We start from the raw sequence: 23,698 nt of genomic DNA on the forward strand, positions 1-23,698 counted from the left end.
GTGAATGACTGAAACTGCAATAGTACTGAACCTTATATATGCTATGTTTTTTCCTATACATATATACCTATGATAAAGTTCAATTTATAAATTAGGCACAGTAGGTGATATGGTTTGGTTGTGTCCCCACCCAAATCTCATCTTGAATTGTAGCTCCCATAATTCCCATGTGTTGTGGGAGGGAGCAGGTGGGAGATAATTGAATCATGGGGGTGGTTCCCCCATCCCCTTCTCATGGTAGTGAATAAGTCTCACAAAATCTGATGGTTTTATAAGGGGAAACCCCTTTTGCTGGGCTCTCATTCTCTTTCCTGCCTCCATGTAAGATGTGTCTTTTGCCTTTTTGCCATGATTTTGAAACCTCCCCAGCCATGTGGAACTGTGAGTCCATTAAACCTCTTTTTCTTTATAAATTACCCAGTCTTGGGTTTGTCTTTATCATCAGTGTGAGAATGGACTAATATGACAATAATAATAAAATAAAGCGAGTATAAAAATATGTCAGCATCACTGCTCTTGAATTTAGAGCCATTATTAAGTAAAAGAAAAGACACAAGCGCTGTGCTACCTCGAAGGTTGTTCTGATCACCAAGATGGCTACTTGGGGCCATCTGATCACCAAGATGGTGACTAAGGGGCAGGCAGCATCTACAGTGTGTATATGATGAACAAAGGGATGATTTATGTCCCAGGCAGAACACAGCAGGACTATGAGAGATTTCATCAGCTACTTAGAATGGTGCAAAATTTAAAACTTATAAATTATTTCTGGAATTGTTCATTTAATATTTTCAGACCACAGTTGACTGTGGGTAACTGAAACTGCAGAACTTGAAACCGTGGATTGGGGAGACTACTGTATTTTCTCATTGTTTAAGCCAATTGAGGCAGGCTTTCTGTTTCTTGTAACCAGAAAACATCCTCTTCCGATTCCCACCCCAAGAAGGAGCCTCAGGTTTCCTCTTGCAGTGGGTCCTGAAGTCTCCTTGCTCTGGGAGCTTTTCCAGAATGGAAGTGGTCAACTTGGAGTGAAGCTGGTATCTGGCCTCCCTGAGCTTGGTCTTCTCATCCAAGAGGCCGGAAGATGGGCGCCCCAGCTATCCACAGAAGATTTGAAAGTAAATAGAATTTAGGACGATCAAAATGGTTTCCAGATTATGGCCCAAGGAAAAATGGGCTAAGGCTCTAATTGCGGTAATTATGATAATCAAGTGTACCAGCCGGATGCAAGGAATGGAAGCCCAGTGGGAGCTGGTGAGACCCGCCCTTTACCTCTCGGCTGTCATGTCTAAGCTCACCCTACTGCCCTGTGATGCCAGAAGGGTACTCTGCAAGCCACAATTGACAGACTATGCCCACAGGAGGCACTAGAGGGAGACTGGGGCAAGAGAAGAGGAGAAGGACCTCATTGTTGTCCTTCAGCTCCTGGCAGTGTCCCTCTAGCAGGAGCAGACGGTGAGCTCCACTTGCCAGCTCCATTCAGCATTCCCAGGTGCCCCTCACCATGCACCTGCAGAGGTGCTGGAGCCCACCAACAGCCTGGGACCTAGGGGGTGGAGGAGAAGCTTGACAGCTTCCTCACCTACTCACTGTGGGCATCAGAGCAATTCCTGGCCCACCACCCTGGGGGTGCGAGCATCTGTCAAATCATGCCCCCTCCTCTTCAGTGGTCTGAACACAAGCTATGCAGTTTCCCCCCAGGAGCCCGGCACCAGCATCATGAGACCCTCCTCTGGTAATCACCCTCTCCCCTCTTTTCTGCCAGCCCTAGGAGTAACCTACTCCCGAGTTATCGCAGCATCCTCATTTTCATCTGTCACTGTGTAAAATTCTTTTACTAAATCTCCTGTTTTGAAATATCTACTGTGGTTTCTCTTTTCCTGGCTGGGGCTCATCTGAGAGAGTACATTGATTAGGTTATGTAATCCACAAGTCCAAATTGAAGGTAATCTCAGGCACAATTTGTTCCAGAGCGTCTAAATATGATTAGGGCCAACACTGAATTTTTTGTTGTTTTTTTTTTTGAGATAGGGTCTTGCTCTATCGCCCAGCCTAGAGTGCAGTGGCATGATCACGGTTCATTGCAGCCTCGAACTCCTGGGCTCAGGTGATCCTCCAGCCTCAGTCTCCCAAGTAGCTAGGACCACTGGCATATGCCACCATTTCCAGATAATTTTTTCCCACCCTTTTTTTTTTTTTTTTGAGATAGAGTCTCACTCTGTCACTCAGGCTGGCTGGAGTGCAGTGGTTCAATCTTGGCTCGCTACAAGCTCCGCCTCCTGGGTTCAAGTGATCCTCCCACCTCAGCCTCCTGAGTAGCTGGGACTACAGGTGCCCACCACCATAACTGGCTAATTTTTCTATTTTTAGAAGAGATGGGTTTTCACTATTTTGGCCAGGCTGGTCTCGAACTCCTGACCTCAAGTGATCCGCCTGCTTCAGCCTCCTAAACTGCTGGGATTACGGGTGTGAGCCACTGTGCCCAGCCATTTTTTCCCACTTTCATTTAGAGATAGGGGTCTCCCTATGTTGCCCAGGCTGGTCTTGAACTCCTGGCCTCAAACAATCCTCCCTCCTTAGCCTCCTGAGTAGTTGCGATTGCAGGTGTGAGCCACTGCACCCAGTCCACTCTCCTTCCCAACATTTTCTCAGCACCAGTCTCTTCCGTGTGTGAACTGTTTTTAGGGTGGCCTCCTTCTGGGTAGCAAAAATGACTGCAGCAGCTCTAATCCTCACATCCAGAAGCCAGACCTCATCTGAAGAAGACAGAGAATGCCTTTGTCCCACATTTCTAAACACGAGCCCTGAACTTCACTTTGCTTAGATTAGGTCCTGCCATTTTAACCAATTCCTGTGGCCAAGGCAGCAGCCCACTGATTGGCTTGGTGTGGATTGCATGCTCTCTTCCTAAAACTGGGGTGGGGCCAACACCTATGGGGTCACTGGACGCACAGATGGAAATCAGAGCTTCCTGGGAAGCTATAGTCAGATGCTGAGGAGATCAAGATCCCCTACACTTAATCTCAGATTGTCCAGGGAAGTCCAAGCTTCCTATCACTATTGCTGCTGTTTTTAAAATACAATACCTTTAAAAAATATATAACTACATTAGTCCATTTCTATGTTACTAGAAAGGAATACCTGAGACTGGGTAATTCATAAAGAAAAGAGGTTTAATTGGCTCATGGTTCTGCAGGCTGTACAAGCATGGCACCAACATCTGCTCAGCTTCTAGGGGGAGCCTCAGGAAGCTTTTACTCATGGTGGAAGGCAAAGTAGGGGCAGGCGCATCACATGGCAAGAGAGGGAGCAAGAGAGTGACGGGGGCTCACATCAACCGGTTACAACATATGTGCTGAGTGTGTCATAGAACAGTTCCTCCAAACTTTTTTTTTTTTACATTTATTTATTTATTTATTTTTAAAAAAGAGTCTCACTCTGTTTTCCAGGCTGGAGTTCAGTAGCATGATCTCAACTCACTGCAACCTCTGCCTCTCAGGTTCAAGTAATTCTCATGCCTCAGCCTCCCAAGTAGCTGAGATTACAGTTGTGCACCACCACACCCTGCTAATTTTTTGTATTTTTAGATGGAGTTTCACTGTGCTGGCCAGGCTGGTCTCGAACTCCTGGCCTCAAGTGATCTGCTTGCCTCGGCCTCCCAAAGTGCTGGGATTACAGGAATGAGCCACCATGCCCAGCCCAAACTTCTGATCTTGCATCTCTACCATTTAAAATATTTGAGAGCACAAGCCAGTCTATGAGTACCAAAAACACTCCTGATCATCCATCCTGGTCCCTGGAATGGGCCCCTGACCCGGTTAAAGGACTTCCCTCGGACCCCAGCTCAATAGTTAGTATCTTATGGAGGAGATTGGGTCTTTAACAAGGCTTCTACTGTCCCAGAGCTATCGATAGTACTGCTGCAGAACCTTCCCAGATGACTCAAGGGTGTCGCACAAAGCCCTGCTCAGTGCGGGTGCCAGGGCATGCTCGCCCTTAGGGCCCCACTCTTGGTCTAGAGGAAACCAGGTGGTTTCCCCATTCGACATTCATTTTCTCTTTTTTCTTGTTATAGCCTGGGAGGCAGAGTGTGGCGTGCCTGCCTGTTCACTCACACACGTTTCTTCTGCTTGTTCCAGCTGGCTCAGAGCCCAGCTGTCATGGAGCATGTTCTCTGGCATCCATGCACACACACAGGCCAGTCCTGTGCCAGGGAAACACCATCCCAACTTTCTGCCTGCTGGACCAACTACTCACCTGCAGGGTCTCAGCCCAAATATTAGCTCCTTCCAAAGCCTTCCATGGCCCCCTTGCCAATCTTGCCACATAGCTCCCTTCAAGATGATGATCTGATTTTGTAAGAAAATGAAAGAGGACTTTAAGTGACAATGTAATTCTTTGACAGGAAAGCAAGGCATTCAATAAACGAAAGTAGCACATTTGTGAACAAGCCTGGATGAATATTTAGTTATTTTTCAAACGTGAAATGAATGCTTTTTAAAAAATGAACTATTTTAAAGTGTTCTGAAAGACAGGTTTAAATACTTGTGCTGGTGAACTGGCATCATGTTTTCTTTTGCTTTGAATGTGAGGATGCTCAGAGCTCATGGATGTGCTTGATTCGGTGGCTTTCCTCTGCCTGGGCTTTGAAGAGAATGCTGGCCCTCTTGGTTTTGGCTTTTGTCTTCTGTGAGAGCCCATGAGGACAGCAGCTTGATGGGGTGGACAGAGCTTGGGCTTTGCAACCAGCACTGGGTCAGTCCCTGATGGCTCACTCACTAGAGATGTGCCTTTGACTTGGGCTCGGTTCTCCTACAGGCAGGCCTGAGACAAGATGGGAGAGCAAGTAGCTCCTCTGGACAGGATCACGAGAAATGCCAGGAGGGGAGTCAAGAGGAGACATGGGAAAGAGAAGACAGAAAAGCAACCCAGAGAGCTTGACTGAGCAGGTTAGGTCACCACGGAGGGCAACTGGGAACTAATCCCAGTAGGTATCTTTGAGAGACTGTGGAGCACACCTCAGAGCTGTCCCACCCAAGGGGGGAGGAAGCATGGGGATTTAGCTACCAGCTGCCATCAGCCACAGGGCAAGGGCTGCTCCTAGAGGCATTAGCTCCTTGGCACCTCTGGTCTGTCCCTAGCACAGGCTGAGCCAGAGCCTGTGGCTGAAGAAACCTCTTAGGCATGTTATGGGCTGAATGTTTGCATCCTTCCAAAATCCCTGTGTTGAAACACTAGCCCTGCATGTGATTGAATTAGGAGGTGGGCCTTTGGGAGGTGATTAGGTCATGAAGGTGGAGCCCTTGGGGTGGGGTTAGTGCCCTTATAAGAAGAGACGCAAGAGTTTGCCCACTCTTTCTGCTTTTGAGCATGTGAGAATACAATGAGAAGACAGCCATCTGCAAACCAGGAAGCGGGCCCTCATCCAACACCCAATCTGCAGGTGCCTTGGTCTTGGACTTCCCAGCCTCCAGAGCTGTGAGAAATAAAGGCTTGTTGTTTAAGCCACCCAGTCTCTGGTGTTTTTTCTTTTTCTTTTTCTTAAATAGCAGCCAGAACCGACTGAGACAGGAAGGGACCACTGGTGCTTACAGTAAGGAGCCATCAGGGATGGTGAGAACCCAGGGCGTAAGGAGGGGCAATGACAGTGTCTGCTACCGACCATAAAAGTAAGAAGAACAATAAAAACGTGAATGCTAACTTCAGTGTATGGCTGGGAAATCCAATGAGGTGATACATGTGAAATCACTGTGTAAACTAAGTCATCATACCAACATTCCATTTGATACTAGGGATGGTGATGATGCCAATGACAGCAATGAATCACATGCTAGATCACTTGCTCCATCTCCCTCATAGGAATCCCTGACCATAGATTGGGTTCCAGTAGCTTTTTAAATTTCTTTGTAAATTTCTCAGTCTTTGTAAATTTCTCAGGTGGCTAGAAGTGGCATTTCCTCAGTTTGTTGGACCTGTCCTAAGAGTCAAAAACGAAACCCTGCACAGAAGTCCCTCTCCTTCCAGCCCCGGACCCTACAACTTTCAGCAAATAAATAGAAATGCCTTTTGTTTTATTTCTAGCATTTTGAAATTCAACTTTTTGAATATATTTGCATGGGGCAAAATTCTGGGAAACATTAAATATATTAAGAGGCATACAGTGAAACCATCTCTGGTTTTCACTCATTCAGTTCCCTTTCTCCCAAAAGTCAACATGACTACTATTTTCTCATGCAAATTTACAAAGTGTGCATATTGTGTATTCAGATTTATTTATATTTATGTAAACCAAATTTGCATTTTCCTCTTTTCTTTTAAACAAAAGATTTGAAATAGCACAAATTGTTCTTTGCCTTCCTTTTGTCACTGGGCACTATATCCCAAGTTGTACATGAAGAGTTTTCTCTTTTTTTGTTATTATTATTATTTTACCACCCCCAGAAATGCTACGTGGGTGTTTTCTCTTTTTTAACAGCTCTGTAATATTCCATTCAGCTTTTGATTCTAGAAAATGTGAATCATCAGCAATGGGTGAGCCTGCTATGGGGTTTAAACACACGATCTTATTAACCCTTACACAGTCCCAGGAGGTAACTAGGGCCTGTAGTTATCACCGCCATTTTGCTATAAGGAATTGAGGCCCATTGAGAGATTAAGTCCTGGCCCAAGGTCATAGAGTAGGGAAGCGGCAGACCAGTCTTGGGCCTGTTGCACTACAAGTGCATCCCTTAACCACTAGATGGCCTCCCTCTCACGGACAGACTTTGGACTATCACTAAGACAGTGAACTGAGCGGTATCCTAAGGTGCTTGGCAAAGGTCTTGGATGCCAACTTGGGTATTTCTTTGGCAATAATGCCATATTGCCTTGTGCATGCTGTGTTTTATTTCAATGCATATTAATATGATTTCCTGCATTTTTGCCTCTCAAGAATCCCATTTGAGGCATGAATTATTGGAGGAAGTTGGCGGGGGGCATTCTTAAGGACAGGCCCAAGAATTTGCAGCAGTGCTGGCAGAGTGCAGTGGAGCACTGTCCTCAGTGAGCTGAGCCCTGGGGAGCCACTGTCAACAGTAGGGGTCAGGGGCACACACTGCAGGGCCTGGAGCTGGGCCTGGGCTGGAGCCCTGCTGAGGCCAGGGAGGAGTCCAGGGCTCTGGGCCAGGAGGTAGATTTAAGGGAGGAAATTGGGAGGGGAGCTGGGAACTAAGAACAATGGGGGAGCTGGGAAGGGTGTCTGGAATCATTTGGTACAAGGCCACATTTTTCGGGTGAAAAAAACTGAAACCCAGAGCAAGGTGGTGGCAGCCCCAAGTTCACAGAGACTGGAGCTGAACAAGAAGCCAGGCCTCATGACCCCTAATCCATTGCCCCTTCTACCAACGCTCTGAAGACACATGCACATACAGTGTGTGTGTGTGTGTGTCTGTGTGTATCTATGTTTGTGTGTCTCTGTGTATGTGTGTTTGTAGTCTGGGGAAAATAAGTGTGCATGTGAACCTCTGTGTATGTGAGTCTGCAGCACAAGCTGAGGAAGGGAGAGTAAGAGGAACTCAGGGACAGGAGGAAGAACAAGGATAAAACGAAATAAAATCCAGGAATCCTTCCAGTATGCATGCAAGTCCCAGGACTTCCAATTTGGAATTTTGCCATCTTTAATTCCATGACAATGTGTGACCATATAACTGGTATTCATCTGAGGGGTTGTTGTTTATTTTTATGACTCTAGCAACTGCAGATGTGAGAGTTCTCATGCCCTTTGGCAGATTCTCAGAAGCTCTCAGTTATTAATGGTCTTGATCACACACATATGCAGGAGACGGTTGCTGTCCTTGGCTCAGCCTTCACTGCACTTCTTCAGGTGAAGCCCCACAAAATGATGGGGATTGACAGTGGAAGAAAGATGGTTCCCTAAAGACTTTTTGCCAGAATTTGGCCGGGCGTGGTGGCTCACACCTGTAATCCCAGCACTTTGGGAAGCCACAGCAGTTACATCACTTGAGGTCAGGAGTTCGAGACCAGCCTGGCCAATGCGTGAAACCCCATCTCTACTAAAAATACAAAAATTAGCTAGGCATGGTGGCGGGCACCTGTAATCCCAGCTACTTGGGAGACTGAAGCAGGAGAATCGCTTGAATCTGGGAGGCAGAGGTTGCATCGAGCCGAGATTGTACCACTGCACTCCAGCCTGGGTGACAGAGCGAGACTCCGCCTCAAATCAAAAGAAAGACTTTTTGCCAGAATTATTGGGGAAGAAAATTTATCCCCCCTGTAGTTGCTACTGGAAGCAAGCCTGGAGAGGTGGAGGCCTCTTCATTGGAAAAGCATGTGAGGATGAAGGCAACACAGAGAAAAAAGCAGAACATAGAGAGTGATTCCAATTGATACCTTTTTGAGCACCTGGATCCAGCGTGTCCAGAATTGGTGGGTTCTTGGTCTCACTGACTTCAAGAATGAAACCGCGGACCCTCCGGGTGAGTGTTACAGCTCTTAAGGTGGCGCGTCTGGAGTTCGTTCCTTCTGACGTTCGGATGTGTTTGGAGTTTATTCCTCCTGGTGGGTTCGTGGTCTCGCTGGCTCAGGAGTGAAGCTGCAGACCTTTGCGGTGAGTGTTACAGCTCTTAAGGCAGCCTGTCTGGAGTTGTTGGTTCCTCCCGGTGGGCTCGTGGTCTCGCTGGCTTCAGGAGTGAAGCTGCAGACCTCCGCGATGAGTGTTACAGCTCAAAAAAGCAATGTGGACCCAAAGAGCGAGCAGCGGCAAGATTTATTGCAGAGAACAAAGTTTCCACAGACTGGAAGGGGACCCCAACGGGTTGCCACTGCTAGCTCGGGCAGCCTGCTTTTTTATTCGCTTATCTGGCCCCACCCACGTCCTGCTGATTGGTAGAGCCCAGTGGTCTGTTTTGACAGGGTGCTGATTGGTGCGTTTACAATCCCTGAGCTAGATACAAAGGTTCTCCACGTCCCCATCAGATTAGTTAGATACAGAGTATGGACACAGAGGTTCTCCAAGGCCCCACCAGAGCAACTAGACACAGAGTGTGGATTGATGCACTCACAAACCCTGAGCTAGACACAGGGTGCTGATTGGTGTGTTTACAAACCTTGAGCTAGATACAGAGTGCCGATTGGTGTATTTACAATCCCTGAGCTAGACATAAAGGTTCTCCAAGGCCCCACCAGACTCAGGAGCCCAACTGGCTTCACCCAGTGGATCCCGCACTGGGGCTGCAGGTGGAGCTGCCTGCCAGTCCTGCGCCATGTGCTCCCACTCCTCAGCCCTTGGGTGATTGATGGGACTGGGCGCCGTGCAGCAGGGGGCGGCGCTCGCGGGGAGGCTTGGGCTGCACCGGAGCCCACGGAGGCGGGGGAAGGCTCAGGCATGGCCGGCTGCAGTCCCGAGCCCTGCCCCGCAGGAAGGCAACTAAGGCCGGGCGAGAAGGCAGCTAAGGCCGGGCGAGAAGCGCCGGTGGGCTGCACTGCTGGGGGACCCAGTACACCCTCCGCAGCCGCTGGCCCAGGTACTAAGCCCCTCATTGCCCGGGGCCGGCAGGGCCGGCCGGCTGCTCCGAGTGCCGGGCCCGCCAAGCCCACGCCCACCCGGAACTCCAGCTGGCCGGCAGGCGCAGTGCGCAGCCCCGGTTCCCGCTGGCGCCTCTCCCTCCACACCTCCCTGCAAGCTGAGGGAGTGGGCTCGGGCCTTGGCCAGCCCACAAAGGGGCTCCCACAGTGCAGCAGTGGGCTGAGGGGGCTCCTCAAGTGCCGCCAAAGTGGGAGCCCAGGCAGAGGAGGCGCCGAGAGCGAGCGAGGGTTATGAGGACTGCCAGCACGCTGTCACCTCTCACCAGCTGTGCCTGAAGCAGGTAATACCTGGACTTTTAAATTACAGGAGTCTTTACATGATCTTTTCTGTGATATACATGATGAATGAAAACTAGGCTGCCTGGGTTTGAATTTTGGAGCTGCCACTTCCTAGTTGTATAACCTTGGACAAGACACTTAACCTGTTTGCCCCTCCACCATATTATCATCTATAAAATGGGATAATACTAGTATCTGCCTCATAGGTTGATATGAGAATTAAATGAGTTAACAAATGGAAAGCATTTAGAACAGTGCCTGGCATAGAGTCAGCATATTGTCATTTTAAAAAATTATATGTATCAGACCGTATACTGCAATAACAGCCCCAAAGTCTTTGTGGCTTAAAATAATACAGTTTTTATTTTTGCTCATATTACATATTCAGAAATTCAGGTTGATGGAGCAGCTGCCATCTCTAATGTTGCTGGCCACCACGACAGAGGAAAACAGAATCTAGAAAAAGCCACGCTGGCTCTTAAAGCTTCTCCCCAGGATGGATAGAGGTTGCTTCTATTCATGTTTCATTGGCCAAAACAAGTCATGTGGCCACACTTAACTTCAAAAGGGAAGAAAGGGCAATCCTGCTGTGTTCCCAGAAGGAAGAGCCCTATTGACCCCACATTATCATTGTTATTTTGTAACTGATTGAATATCAAAAAGATGCAGAAATAATTTTCTAAAAAATCTGTTTCCCTGTTTTTCTCGGGTTTTATTATATTTTATTTAAAAAAATTTTTAGAGACAGGGTCTGGCTGTCACCCAGGGTAGAATACAGTGGCACGATCATAAGTCACTGCAGCCTTGAACTTCTAGGCTCAAGCCTTCCTCCCACCTTAGCCTCCCAAGTAGCTAACACCCCAGGTGTGCACCGCCATGTCCAGATAACTTTTTATTTTTTATTTCTTTTGGAGAGGCGGAGTTCTCACTATGTTGCCCAGGTTGGTCTCGAACTCCTGGCCTCAAACAATCCTGCCTCAGCCTCTCAAAGTGCTAGGATTATAAGCATGAGCCACAGCGCTCTGATTTTTTCTGGTTTTATATTCCCCAGGGACCAGGAGACATGACTGAGCCATACTCTATTTACCCCACTTTTCACCATACTACGCCAATCACTTTAAAATCTGTTGGTCCTGGTGTCCATGACCCAGGGGCCAGGACCAGGTCACTGACATTTTCAACAATCTCTTGCTGGTGAAATCCCAGAGAAGAGGAAAGAAGCTGTATCTTGGGCCCAGAGTCACAAGCAAACAAGAGAAAGAAAGAATTGAGGGACAAAAGAAGAAAAGCTCTCCTTGAGAGAGGGTGGTGTCTTGGGTCTGGAGCAAAGGGCTGCGAGGGAAGCTGGACGGGGCAGGGGAAGGTGCTAAACAAGGATGTAGCATCAGCTGTGGTCTTGTTCAGCCTGACTTCATGGGCAGCTCTGAAGTGTGAGTTGCACACGGAGTGGGTCCTGCCCTGAGGCAAGGGAGCTGACCTTTTGTACCCCATGACTATGAGTCATTGGCAGTGAGCTACCTCTTGAAGGGGGGCATTCACCTTCTGGGTCAGGCAGCTCCTGTTGGGTTGGTCAAGGGCAATTCTTGGAGAAGGGGGCCACTGTGCGCTGTTCGCATCTAACCCTAGCAGGCGCTAGGGGATGCGTGCAGCAGCCCCATCAAGGGACCTGGGTGGGGCACCAATAGCATCTACTACGGGTGGTCAGAAAAGCACTAGAGGGCTCATCTGCCATCTTTCCCACCCATATAACTGCACTTTCGAAGCATGAGATATATTGACATTAGTGGGGTAAGTAATGGCATCCAATGGCTTCCCATTTACCTCCTGGATTAAATGCAAATTCTGCCATCAATGTATATTTCCAGGCTATGTCCCAGTGCTCTCCCAAACCCAGCCTATATGAAAAGTCACCTGGAAACTTGCCATCTTCTGAAGAACCTCTGTGCCTCGGATCAGGCTCTTTCTTCTGCCATGAGTGCCCTCTCTACCCCAAGACCCATGAAATTGTATCCTCACTTCAAGGCCCTTTCAAATACTAACCAATTCATAAAGCCTTTCCTAATCACTCAACGGGATGTGAGCTTTTTTTTCTTTCTCTCAAACACTCTTTGAAACTTCAGAGTCCTTATTTTATGGAGTGGGTCCCATTCCATGAATTTGAGTCGTTTGATCAGGTTATTCCCCCAAGTCTTTTGTGAACTCTTTAGGAAGAATTGAGTCTTTTTCTCTTTGCAGCATCTGGCAAACACCCTGAAAGACAAAGGCACTAAATTAATATATGTGTAATTGAATTGAGACTTTGCTGAGATTAAACGTCTGTGCTTAATCAAAGCCTTGTCTTATACACATCACCCATAACAATAACAGGCATGTACTGAGCATTCGTTTTGTGCCAAGAACTGTGCAGAAAGGATTTTCTTCACATTAATTATCTCATTTAATTGTATTATTAATGATCTCCACCCAACAGATGAGAAACTGAAGCTCAGAGAAGGCAAGCAACTCACCCAAAGCCACACAGGTAATAGGTGGTAACAGGGTGGAGACTCGTATGTCTAAATTCAGAGCTCATACCCCTAACCTCTATGAAGCAGCTGTGATAGGGACAAGCACAGGTTTTCAATCAAAGACATGGCTTCTGATTGGGTACATCAGCAAAACTGGCAGAGACTGGCAAGCTCTGTATCCAACCCATCCCCTTTTCCTCCTGGGCAAAGAGACCAGCGATTCTCAGGTTTCAATGTGCATGTGATTCACCTGGTGCTCACTGAGAATAGAGGAAACAAGCAGAAAACACACACGTGCACCCACCGTAACACAATGTGAGAAAGTCTATTATAGAAATATGCTCACAGTTGGGAGAAGAAGGCCGGAATGCAGACAGAGGTGCAAGGGAAGTCAGGAAAAGTGTCCCAGAAAAGGTAACCCCAGAGCTGAGTTTTTTTTTGTGTTTTTTTTTTTTTTTTGAGGCAGAGTCTTGCTCGACCCAGGCTGGAATGCAGTGGGTGCGATCTCGACTTCATGCAACCTCCACCTCCCAAGTTCAAGCAATTCTCCTGCCTCAGCCTCCCGAGTAGCTGGGATTACAGGCGCCCACCACCACGCCCTGCTAATTTTTTTATTTTTAGTAGAGACGGGGTTTCAGCATGTTGGCCAGGCTGGTCTTGAAATCCTGACCTCGGGTGATCCACCCATCTCAGCCTCCCAAAGTGCTGGGATTATAGGCATGTGCTACCACTTCCAGCTCTGAGTCTTAGGAAGTAGGGAGTGGGAAGAAACTGCATTACAGGTGGCAGCTTCAGCACAGACAAAGGCAAGAGAGGCGAGAGTACACGAGGGCATTTGGAGAACTGCTAACAGCTGAATATAGCTGGAGGGTAGAGTGAGGGTAGAGTGAGAGAAAGAGCCAGGCCTGGAGAAGTAAGAAGAGGGCAGGTCCAGGAAGCATCATTTGAACCATGTACCAAAGGTAAGGGGAACTGCTGAGGCATCTCAAGGTGAGCGAGAGTGTCGGCCTGACCTTCAAAACTTTCCTCTGCCTGCTTTTGGGAAGACTGGATTAGAGGGGCTGAAGTTAGGGGCCGCTCAGTTTATTTTTAGATGAGGAGCTTCCTGGGTCCCAGCAAGCCTCACTGCCTGGGACCCCATAGCGGGAGGCTGTCCCTAGGATTCAGATGATCCATGCAGGGCATTTCAGAGGCCAGGGAGTCACAGAGCCATACAGCCCTGGGGATGCGAAGCAGGCACCTTGAAGAAGGCCACCAGCACATGGAGTAAAGGGGAAAGGAGGCTGAAAGTTCAAGAGGGGTGGTCTAAGACAGACCCACACAGACATCTTTTCCCTGGGATCAGTCTGCTATCTCTTCACCAGGCCATTAGTTCTCAGCCTTTCTCCTGTTGAACATAGAAGGCACATGACCTTTGCCAGCAGGACCCATGTCTTTGATACACCCAGGGTCATACACACTCCCTGGAGCCACCAGTACTTGCAACTGAGAGTGACATTCACAGAGGGATGACCATGAACTCACTTTAATTTACAAAATAAGTAATTCACACAAAACCATTGATGTCTTCTCCATTGTTAGAAGTAGACTATAGGCTTGGAAGTCAGACAATCTCAGATTCCCATTCTGACCCCCTCACTTATAGGCTGTGTGGCGCTGGGTGAGTTACTTACCCTCTTTGAGTCTTAGCATTCTCATCTGCAGAATGGGTATGATAATAGAACTCCTATGCTGGAGGGTCCGTTAGGATTGGATCTGATTATGCAAACTAAATGCTTGGCAATGTGCCTGCTAATGGTAAATACTCAGTAGGTGATAACTGCCTTATTATGAATATTTTCTTATTCTTGTCATTAGCAATATGCCTCACGGCCGATGGGAGCACACCTGTGGGTAATAACACCGTGGCTGCCTCTTAGCCTATTAGAGAAAGGAAAACCATTTACTCCTAATTGGTTCACCTTTGTCCTTGAAAGTCATCATGCTGTGTTTTTTTTTTTTTTTAAAACATGCTGTAATTGAAAATTCAGTCTAATTCACCCAGCCCTCCCCTCCGTTCCCAATCAGTGGGACTTTTGCTGGATAGGGAACTGGGTTGTTCATAGGTTCTAAGCCAAAACCCAGCTTTAATTTCCTATTATAGGCCTGTCCTTTTTAAGATATGCTGGATGAAAACAACATCAGTGGTGGGGCAGAAGGAGCTAGGAATGGCCTCCTGTGCATTGACAGGGGAAGTATTCAGTCCCGTAACAATCTTTCAGCAGCCCACATACCTGGGCTCCATGTGGCTTGTACTCTCTGCCTCTCCAAGAAGCTGTTTCTCTTCACCACCCGTAGGGGGCAGAAATACCTTGATTAGGGCCCCCTCTAACAGTGTTTCCATCTGAATAAATGGGAATGCTGCCCGCTCAACCCTACAAGAATTTAATTAGTTTGGTTGTTGGCAGGTCCCCCAAAGATGAAAAGAGCAAGAGATTCCACTGTCTCATCCAAGCCAGTGTCCTCTCCGGCCCAGACCCAGTCAAGAGCCCCCTAACTAGTCCTGCTAAGTAAGCCCACTCTGACCCCGCCAGCACATTCTATGATAGAGAGATCCATTTAAAAATGCAATCTCATTCCATCACTTCCCTTGTCAAGCATTCTCAATCGCTTTCTCAATCAATGCTAGGACTCAGATTTTAGCCCCCAGGGCCCACGTCTGGCTTCTGCTGGCTCGTCCAGCCTCATCCAGGCCCTTTCTGCCTTTCTGTGCCCAGTCACACCAGGGCTTAGGCAGTCCTTTGAGTGTGGGGAGCTCCTGCCCACCTCTGCCTAGCTGGCATCTTTGCTGGGAGACCATATCTTCCTTCCCCACCTCCCACCTGTACTCAACTTTGCTCCTATGTTCTCAAGGTTTCTTATTTTTCTCCCCTGTGGGCTTACCCCTGCCTCCCCCAGTGGGATATCAGCTCCATGAGGGCAAGAACTGTGTTTTATTTACCTCTTCATTCCCAGTACTGACCACGGTGCCTGAGCGGCATGTAATAGAGAGTTGACAAACTTTTTAAAAATGACAATCTTTTTTTTTTTTTTTTTTTTTGAGACAGAGTTTCGCTCTTGTTGCCCAGGCTAGAGTGCAATGGCATGATCTCGGCTCACCACAACTTCCGCCTCCTGGGTTCAAGCAATTCTCCTGCCTCAGCCTTCCGAGTAGCTGGGATTACAGGCATGCACTACCACGCCCGGCTAATTTTGTATTTTAGTAGAGACTGGGATTCCTCCATGTTGGTCAGGCTGGTCTCGAACTCCCGACCTCAGGTGATCCGCCCGCCTTAGCCAAAATGCTGGGATTACAAGTGTGAGCCACCACACCCAGCCTCAAAAATGGCAATCTTTTATTATATTGGAATTGCACATGAAGAGCTCTGTTTTTGCCAAGGGAGATGGAGTGGAAGTTGGTTTATCCATTTGATTGCTGTAGACTCAATTATTCAAAGGGCAAATGCAGATCTGCCTATTCCTTCAGAATATTATGCTGTCAGGAGTTATTTCCCTTAATCTTAATGTTCCCTTTATGTCCTTCAAACTCCTTCTCAATTAGAAGATGCTGTTTATTACTTCCTTATCCATGAAGCCTCAGGCTTCTTTGGTGGTTATTATGTCACAGAGAGGAATCTTGTCAAAATCAAATGGAATGGAGGCAATCGGGGGAAAACGATTTTATTTTTCATCTGATTACCATCATTTTCTCTCTCTCTCTCGGGTCTAAGAGTGGGATGGATGTAGGAAGAGGAAGGAGTTGTCCTAATATGGGTTACTGAAATGTTATTGGCCCATGTTAAATACAGAAATGGAGGGTTTAGAAATGTTTAAGGTGATTTTACTTTGCCACAGTGTCCAAGCACCTGATCAATGATCCTGTCTTGATGAAGAGGGCAGTGGTGAGCATTTGGGGTGCTGTTGAATTTGTGTGGTGGCTCACACACACTAGGACCACATATCCTCCCTCAAAATTTTGGAAATTTTAAAAAACTCATCCTTAACTGCAGAGAGTTTATAAAATATGTTGTCAAAGATAACATAGCCCTAGTCACATGGTAAGGAAAAGCCAACATTCAAGAAATGCTTGGAAACTGAGAAATGTTAAAGGCAGGAGTACAAAGGAGGTGAAGAGAATGGTCACTGTAGGTTGAGGTGAAACAGGAAGTCGATCCTTGGAGATGAATCCTCAGAGGGTCTTGAAAAAAAAAGTTGGCAAATATTAAGGGGTAGAAGGATGTTTCAAGAGAGAGGAAGCCGTGAGCGAAGGCATGGAGGCCTATGCAGAAGATGTGAAGGCCATGCACATTATTTGCTGATTGAAATAGAAAGGTCAAGAGTCTGGGTTCTACCATTTGGCAACCGTCCTAATGATAATTGATTCAAGTAAGAACACTAATGGATGCTAAGGAGTGGGCAAGTTTGAGAAATAACAGACTATTTAGATAGTCTCAAAGTATCCGCCCTCCAGATTCTTAATGACAAAGCAAAACTAATAACCCTCCAATGATAAAACCTAGCAGATACCACCTTAACTAACTGATCAGTTAGTGTTACAAGAGATGAGAAAAATCCACAGCATTTGCCTCCTGATGTGATGCACTGGGGAAAACACAACAACACAACATCATATTTGTGTTATTCCTGCAAAAAAAAAATAGCATAACCTAAATCTACTCATGAGGAAACATCACGCAAATGTCACTTGAAAAACATTCTACAAAATAGCTGGTCCGTATTCTTCAAAAATGTCAATATCATGAAAGACAAAGATTGAGGAAGTGTTGCAGATTAAAGGAGACTGCAGACACGTGACAACTGAATGCAATGCATGATGTGGGATTATCTTTTGCTTTAAAGCAAAATGCTGTTCTTTAAAGGACAGTATTGGGACAATTGGTGAAATCTGAATAAGGCCTGTTTACTAGATAAAGGTATTGTATCAATGTTAATTTCCTGAATTTTGTCATTGTACATTCAGAGAATGTTCTTATTTTTAGGAAATACACACTGAAATATGTAAAGGGACATTGTGTCTCAAACAGTTCAGAAAAAATATAATACTAGTGAGGATGCAGATGTGGAGATAGATCGAGATACAGGATAAAGCAAAGTGATAAAATGTTAACATTGGGGGAATCTGGGTGAAAAGTATGTAGGCCTATGAGAATTATTTTTATTATTCATGTAACTTTTCTGTGAGTCTAAAATTGTATCAAAGTTTAAAGTTAGGCTGGGTGTGGTGGCTTATGCCTATAATCCCAGCACTTTGGGAGGCTGAGGCAGGCAGATCATTTGAGGTCAGGAGTTCGAGACCAGCCTGGTCACCATGGTGAAACCCCATCTACTAAAAATACAAAAATTAGCCAGGCATGGTGGCATGTGTCTGTAATCTCAGCTACTTGGGAGGCTGAGGCACGAGAATCGCTTGAACTTGGGAGACAGAGGTTGCAGTGAGCCGAGATCGTGCCACTGCACTGCAGCCTGTCTCTAATAATAATAATAATAATAATAATAGTAAGTTAAAGGAAGAGAAGAGAGCCATTAGGCTCTGGTCCCTTCTTTGCTCTGTATAAATGTGTAATTTTGGCTAAGTCTCTGCACCCCTGGGTCTCCTCCTGCCCTTCCAGTTGGAGGCCTCGTGGCTTGCCTTTCTTGTTCTGCCTCCTCCCAGCTAATTTCCAGATTGACACCTTGTCTCCTCTTCCTGAGTCAATGTTTCTTTCGCACTGCGCCCTGATAGCTGATCTCTTTGGCTTAATGCCCCTTGAGATCTGGGCCACCATGGAGGTTTTTGTCCAGCATCCAGGACATTTTTTGCCGACTTGGGCTTGTACTCCAAACACATCAAGGTAATTCACATTTATTGAAGTCCTACTCTGTGCCAGCACTGCTCTTGATCTTTTCAATAACCTAAAAGGTAACTTCTCCAATGTGTGTGGTCTACTCTCACTATTATCTCCACACAAATTTCAGTGGCTCCAAAGCCCTACTTCCTTGATCAGAGAAAGTTCAATATTTAGTGGATCATACCTTCATATGAGAAAACTCAGGACCACCTAAACACGGATCCTACTTGGTTGTCCACTTATAGCTATGGATCACAGAGCTAGGATTTTTGGCTTCAAGTCCTCAATGTTCTATTGAAGGGGTCACTCAGGGTTCCAGCTGTCTCCATTTCTTGGGTACCATCAGAGCTGAACCTCAAAGCTAGATATCTTGTCACCTGTGAAATAAAGAGGAAAATGCAGGCCTGGTGTGGTGGCTCATGCCTATAATCCCAGCACTTTGGGAGGCCAAAGAGGGAAGATCGCATGAGGTCAGGAGTTCGAGAACAGCCTGGCCAACATGGTGAAACCCCGTCTCTACTAAATATACAAAAATTAGCCAGGTGTGGTGGCAGACGCCTGTAATCCCAGCTACTTGGGAGGCTGAGGCAGGAAAACCAATTGGACCCTGGTGGCTGAGGCTTCAGTGAGCCAAGATGATGCCATTGAGCTCCAGCCTGGGTGACAGAGTGAGACCCTGTCTCAAAAAAAAAAAAAAAAGAGGAAAGTGCTCTTTTCATGTTACAATCAGTTGCAGTCGATGTGAGGGGGTCCCACAACCAGTTCCAGAATTCTAGTGCAATGGCATTTATGGCAAACCTGTTTAAATTCTGGGTAAGGCTGAGATCCAGTACCAGCCACATTATAGTACCAGGGCCATTCTGCCTCCTGAACACTCAGGCCTGGCTTTGGAGCCCACCTCCCCACACAGGACCATTTCCTCAGTGTGAGTTCTTTCCCAACCCTTGTTGACTCTGTCTGCAAACTAAATTTTTAATATATCTGAGACAGAGATTGTGGACTTAAGTCAATATGTAAAGGGTATTGCCTATTGCCATGGGCCACCAGGAAACCCTGGGCCAGATCCTGCCTCATCAAGAGACCCTGTTGACACTGGAGGCTCAGAGAAGTTACCCATTTGAGGCTGGGGGTCCCGCAAGTCATAAGTGGTGGGGTCAAGATTTGAACTCATATCTCTGGGGCTCTTTCCAGTCCACTGTCTTGTTTTCTCCTCAAAGTGCAGCAAAGACAACAATTAGGTAAATGGAGGCCTTCCTACTTGAGGCTTTGTTAGCAAATTGAGGTTTTTCTGGCCTGGCCTGGGATTCCGGAAGTACAGGGGACAATTGTTTATGCTGCTGTTGGTGATTTCACATTTAGATGATGCAGACTGCTTGTTTTTCTTTCTTCATAGTACCTTTTCCCTCCCAAGCACTTAATCACCCAAAAGACGGAAACATCAAGGGTAGCCCATTTTTATACAATTCTGGAAAATGCTTGGGGCAGGTGGGAGGAAAGGGTGAAACGACTGGCAATGTGGTTTTATAGAAAGAGCGTGGGCATCAGAATCAGACAGTTCTGGGTTCAAATCTGGGTTTGTCGCTTCCTATTTGAGTAAACATTTAGAAGTTAAAGGTCTTCATCTGTAAAACAGAGACAATACCGTCTACCTCTCAGCGTTACATGAGAAACCTTATTTAAAATCATCAGTCTTGAAGAGGGCTCAATGACACTTAGTGTCCCTCACTTTGGCTGATCCTTTTTGGATTATATGAGAATTTTAGCTATCTATATTTTGCTATTCATTCCTCTTACAGACAACCCTCAAGTCAACTCAGAAGCAGGTCTTGTTTCCATGGAGATGTATTTAAGGTAAACAAATGTGAAAAGGGGAAGCACAGACGCCCATCCCCTACACCCACTCACGGCCAATGCACCATCTCAGCAGAAATGTTTCCAAAGAAATGTTTCACAAAGCTTTCGGGGAAGGCCAAGGGCTCTTTCACAGTCTTGACATGCTTTTTCATTGTACGGCTCTTGAAATGAACAATAATTCGAAACAGATAATAATGAACTTCACACAGCAATGGATCAAAAGTGGAATTACTGAGCTCAGCATTGTCTAGTATAATTAGGCTGACATGCTGCTGAATCCAAATGGATGGCTTTCCGACCCCCACTTTTGCATGTGCACATTTATTTGCAGAAGAACTTTTAATGGGCAGAATATTACAAGATTTCTGGACCCCATGTGGTTTCAGTTCTAATCCAAACAGCTTACTTTCTTCTGAAACTCTGATTTTCCTTCCTCGCTTTCTTCTTTTTTTTTCTTTTGGCATCACTATTTTGGAAATTTCAAAGGAGAATTGGTTCCTTGAATGTGCATGGAAATATAAGCACATAAATCACATGCTGAATTTACTTAACAAGGAGCAATAATCCCACTGTCACTTCCCACTGAACAATGCCTTTTTAGGAAAAAATGCTGCAAATCCTTTAGAAGTCCAAATCCGATGCATCCAATCAACTCACTTTTTTAAATTCCACAAAATAATTTCTCTGTTTTAAATAGCTTATTAAACACAACAGCAATCAGATAATAGATATTTCTTAATTAGACCTAGCTTTAGATCTCTCTTCAATCATGGCAGACAGCAGACTAGCTAGTCACTTTATAGGGCCATAAACATTCATTTCAAAGTCTAATAATAGAGTGGTTTCCTCTATTCTCCCTCTAACACAAGGGCCAATTTTTGTCGAGTGAAAATCAGCCCATGTCTTACACAAGACATCTGTCCTCAAGATGTGACACCTAAAATGATAAAGCAGAAATATATCACCAAAGCCAACAACTTATAAAATTATGGCTAACAAGACTAGACAATCTTGTTGTTGCATCAACCACAAAAAAGAAAGAGAAAGGGCATTTAATATAGCCTTTATTAGTCACTTTATTAGTCACTGGTACCTGTCTTGAATTTTCCAAAGGCTCTAACAGAAGAATTAACTTGGCCCATTTACAGAACCACAGGCAGAAGATTCTGCACTATCAGGGATATCCATAGTGGTAGCAAGAACGATTAGCAGAATGTCTAGATGTCCCTAAGCAGACAGATTAATGCCGCCATCCTCAAGGTAGGCTCTGAGCTGCTAGCTAGAATGATATAAGGAGCTCTGGTTAATACAGAGAGAAGGTCCCAGCCAATAATTACTAGCATTGCTGGCCCCATCCATCCACATTAGATCCAGAGCGGAGAATGAAGTTGAACCTTAGAATCCTTCCCATTGTCATGCAAACAAATCTGTTAGATGAGATCTTAGAAGCATTGAGCAGCCCCCAAACCATAGAACTGCCAACCTTAGAGGTGGAAAATTGTAGAAGAGGAAACTGCAGCTGAAGGTGGTGAAATGACTCGCCTAAGGTCACAGAGAAACCACACCACCCTTCACCACTTGTGACTTGAATGGAAATAGTCTTTTTCTGACCAAAAAAAAAAAAAAGAGTGAGTACACTGTGTGTCAGCAAATGTTATGCCACATGCAGCTAGATCATTGCCCAACAAAGGAAATGTGGATTCACAGAACTAGCTTCCTACTTTGAACACTATTTTTCCTGTAATCGGGTAAGGCTGGGGGCAAATTCTGGTCAAACCCTACAAAGATAAAGGGAAGCTCCATGTTTATAGATGCATGAACTGTAGGCCTAGTGAAGACTTCTCAATCATTTATCAATCCAGTATTGATTGGGGCATGCCCAACATGGGGCAGGTGTTTTGGAAAATATAGAAAAAGCGTAAGACATAGCCTTTTCCCTTAAGAAAAATTTAAACAATGTAGATGATTCTTAGAGATCAAGTGCAAAGATTAGATATTGATGATGATCCCAAAAGGCATTCAAAGATGGGAGAAATCGCAGGGTTTTTCACAAGTCAAGGATGGCTTGACCGACCTGAGATCTGTAAGGGACCTTGAAATCTGGATTGTGTAGAAGGATAGATGTAGGGGAGAGAAAACCTGGGGATATCTAAGCAGGAACAAAATTTCTGAGGTTGGAATTAATATGGCCCCAGAAAGTCTGGTCAAGACACCTAAGTGGCCTAGAAGTTGGTTTTAAGGGCACAGTGAAAAACAACACTGAACCCCGAGGGAAAGCCATAACAAGTGACTCACCAAATCATTTGGCCAAAGCAACACCAAACAAAGCTCAAGAGTCAGACCCATTTCCTTGAAGACTCGTCTCTCTGGTATGCTAAGAAAAATTAAATTTGCAATTTTCGGATGTACATATGCCAGAATTATCAAAATGTCGTGGATTCTCCTTCATATCATGACTAATATCCTCACCTCTGTACAAAATAGAAAGTTGGCCTGAGCTGTAAGAGGAAGGATTGCCCCTTTCTACCACCGCTCCCCAAGAGGAAATTGACTAAATAGTTTTGGAAGCCATTTCTAGACCCACAAGACCCTAATTCAAGAAAATAAGGTGTTGCCAAAGGTATTAAATATCCAAGAAACTATCCGAATACCTTTCTATGCTTTTGAACATTCCTTCTCTCTGACCTTAAACATGCGCTTAAATATATCAACTCCTTTCATCTGAAGGTGTGCCCGCACATGGCCTTTCTAATATTACCTCCAATTTGGGGGGGCAGAGGATAAACGGACAAGCTGAGGAATTATAGAGCCACCTAAATGGGAGGCTACTTCAAGGTTAAAACATGGCATGCCCAAACGCTTGCTGTACACAAAGGCTATTTATAATAGTTCTGATTTTAAACTTGGATTTATAATGAAGTTCAAGGCAGAAAGAGCAAAATTCCATACTGAAGAAAAATTACAGCTGGAAAAATCATTTGAAAAAAAAAAAGAAAAAAAAAAAAAACAAGAAAGCCTTCCAAGTGGTTACTCAATTTGGGAATTTAGAGAAGATGGCAGTTTGTGTCCAAGAAGAAACTACTTTTGGGGAAATGGAAGAGTGGAAAGTCTTGCCTTCAGTCTATTTTTGTAGCCCTGCCTCCAGCCATGCACATAACTGAGTCAAGGAAGGGCATTCCTCCCCACAGCTTCCAAAAAGGCGCATGTGAACAGAGGCACCTGGTCACACTATGGTGAGCCGAGTGCAAAAGCTTCAGGCAGCGAAGGGCAGTGGGAGGGGAGATATTAACTTGCCTCTGGCCTTTGGTGCCCAGCAAACCTGTGCCCTGCCTGCCTGTCCAGCCTGCCTGTGCCTCTCCAATCTGTGTTCCAGCATCTAGCTCCAGGTCACTCAGGAGTTGCGTGTGTTAGAGGGGGTGGGACAAGGTGATGTGATGGATAGAAACTCTCTTCCTCTTCCTCTCTTACTTTGTCTTAAGTGGGAAGGAGTTTTGGGCTTGCGGGGAATCGTTGCTCAGCATGCTTGCTTGTGCTCTGTAGGTTAAAGCGTTTAACTATAGGGTGGCAGGTGGTATCTATCTATGTACCCACTTCTTACCTCTCTCTAGC

The 23,698-nt window shown here is 45.8% G+C and overlaps 1 long non-coding RNA gene across 3 annotated transcripts in view, besides 2 other annotated features; it reads left to right on the forward strand.

Moving 5' to 3' along the window:
- Positions 6,792-6,841: a silencer, noted in NCBI's record as "silent region_15333". NCBI's record gives its function as "represses an Ori minimal core promoter by ATAC-STARR-seq in GM12878 lymphoblastoid cells {active_cell/tissue: GM12878}" and the evidence as "EXISTENCE:reporter gene assay evidence [ECO:0000049][PMID:35858748]".
- LINC02357 (long intergenic non-protein coding RNA 2357) overlaps positions 16,054-23,698 on the forward strand; it is a 33,504-nt gene continuing 25,859 nt past the window's right edge. Inside the window, exons 1-2 of one of the 3 annotated variants that reach the window (XR_001741635.2) lie at positions 16,061-17,320; positions 20,032-20,086. This is a non-coding gene — a long non-coding RNA (long intergenic non-protein coding RNA 2357). Of the gene's footprint in view, positions 17,321-20,031; positions 20,087-23,698 lie in introns of all 3 variants that reach the window. The other 2 variants (XR_925506.3, XR_001741634.2) reach the window with 2 other exon arrangements.
- Positions 20,232-20,311: an enhancer, noted in NCBI's record as "active region_21384". NCBI's record gives its function as "activates an Ori minimal core promoter by ATAC-STARR-seq in GM12878 lymphoblastoid cells {active_cell/tissue: GM12878}" and the evidence as "EXISTENCE:reporter gene assay evidence [ECO:0000049][PMID:35858748]".

Source organism: Homo sapiens, chromosome 4 (assembly GCF_000001405.40).
Source record: "Homo sapiens chromosome 4, GRCh38.p14 Primary Assembly".
Taxonomy (NCBI): domain Eukaryota; kingdom Metazoa; phylum Chordata; class Mammalia; order Primates; family Hominidae; genus Homo; species Homo sapiens.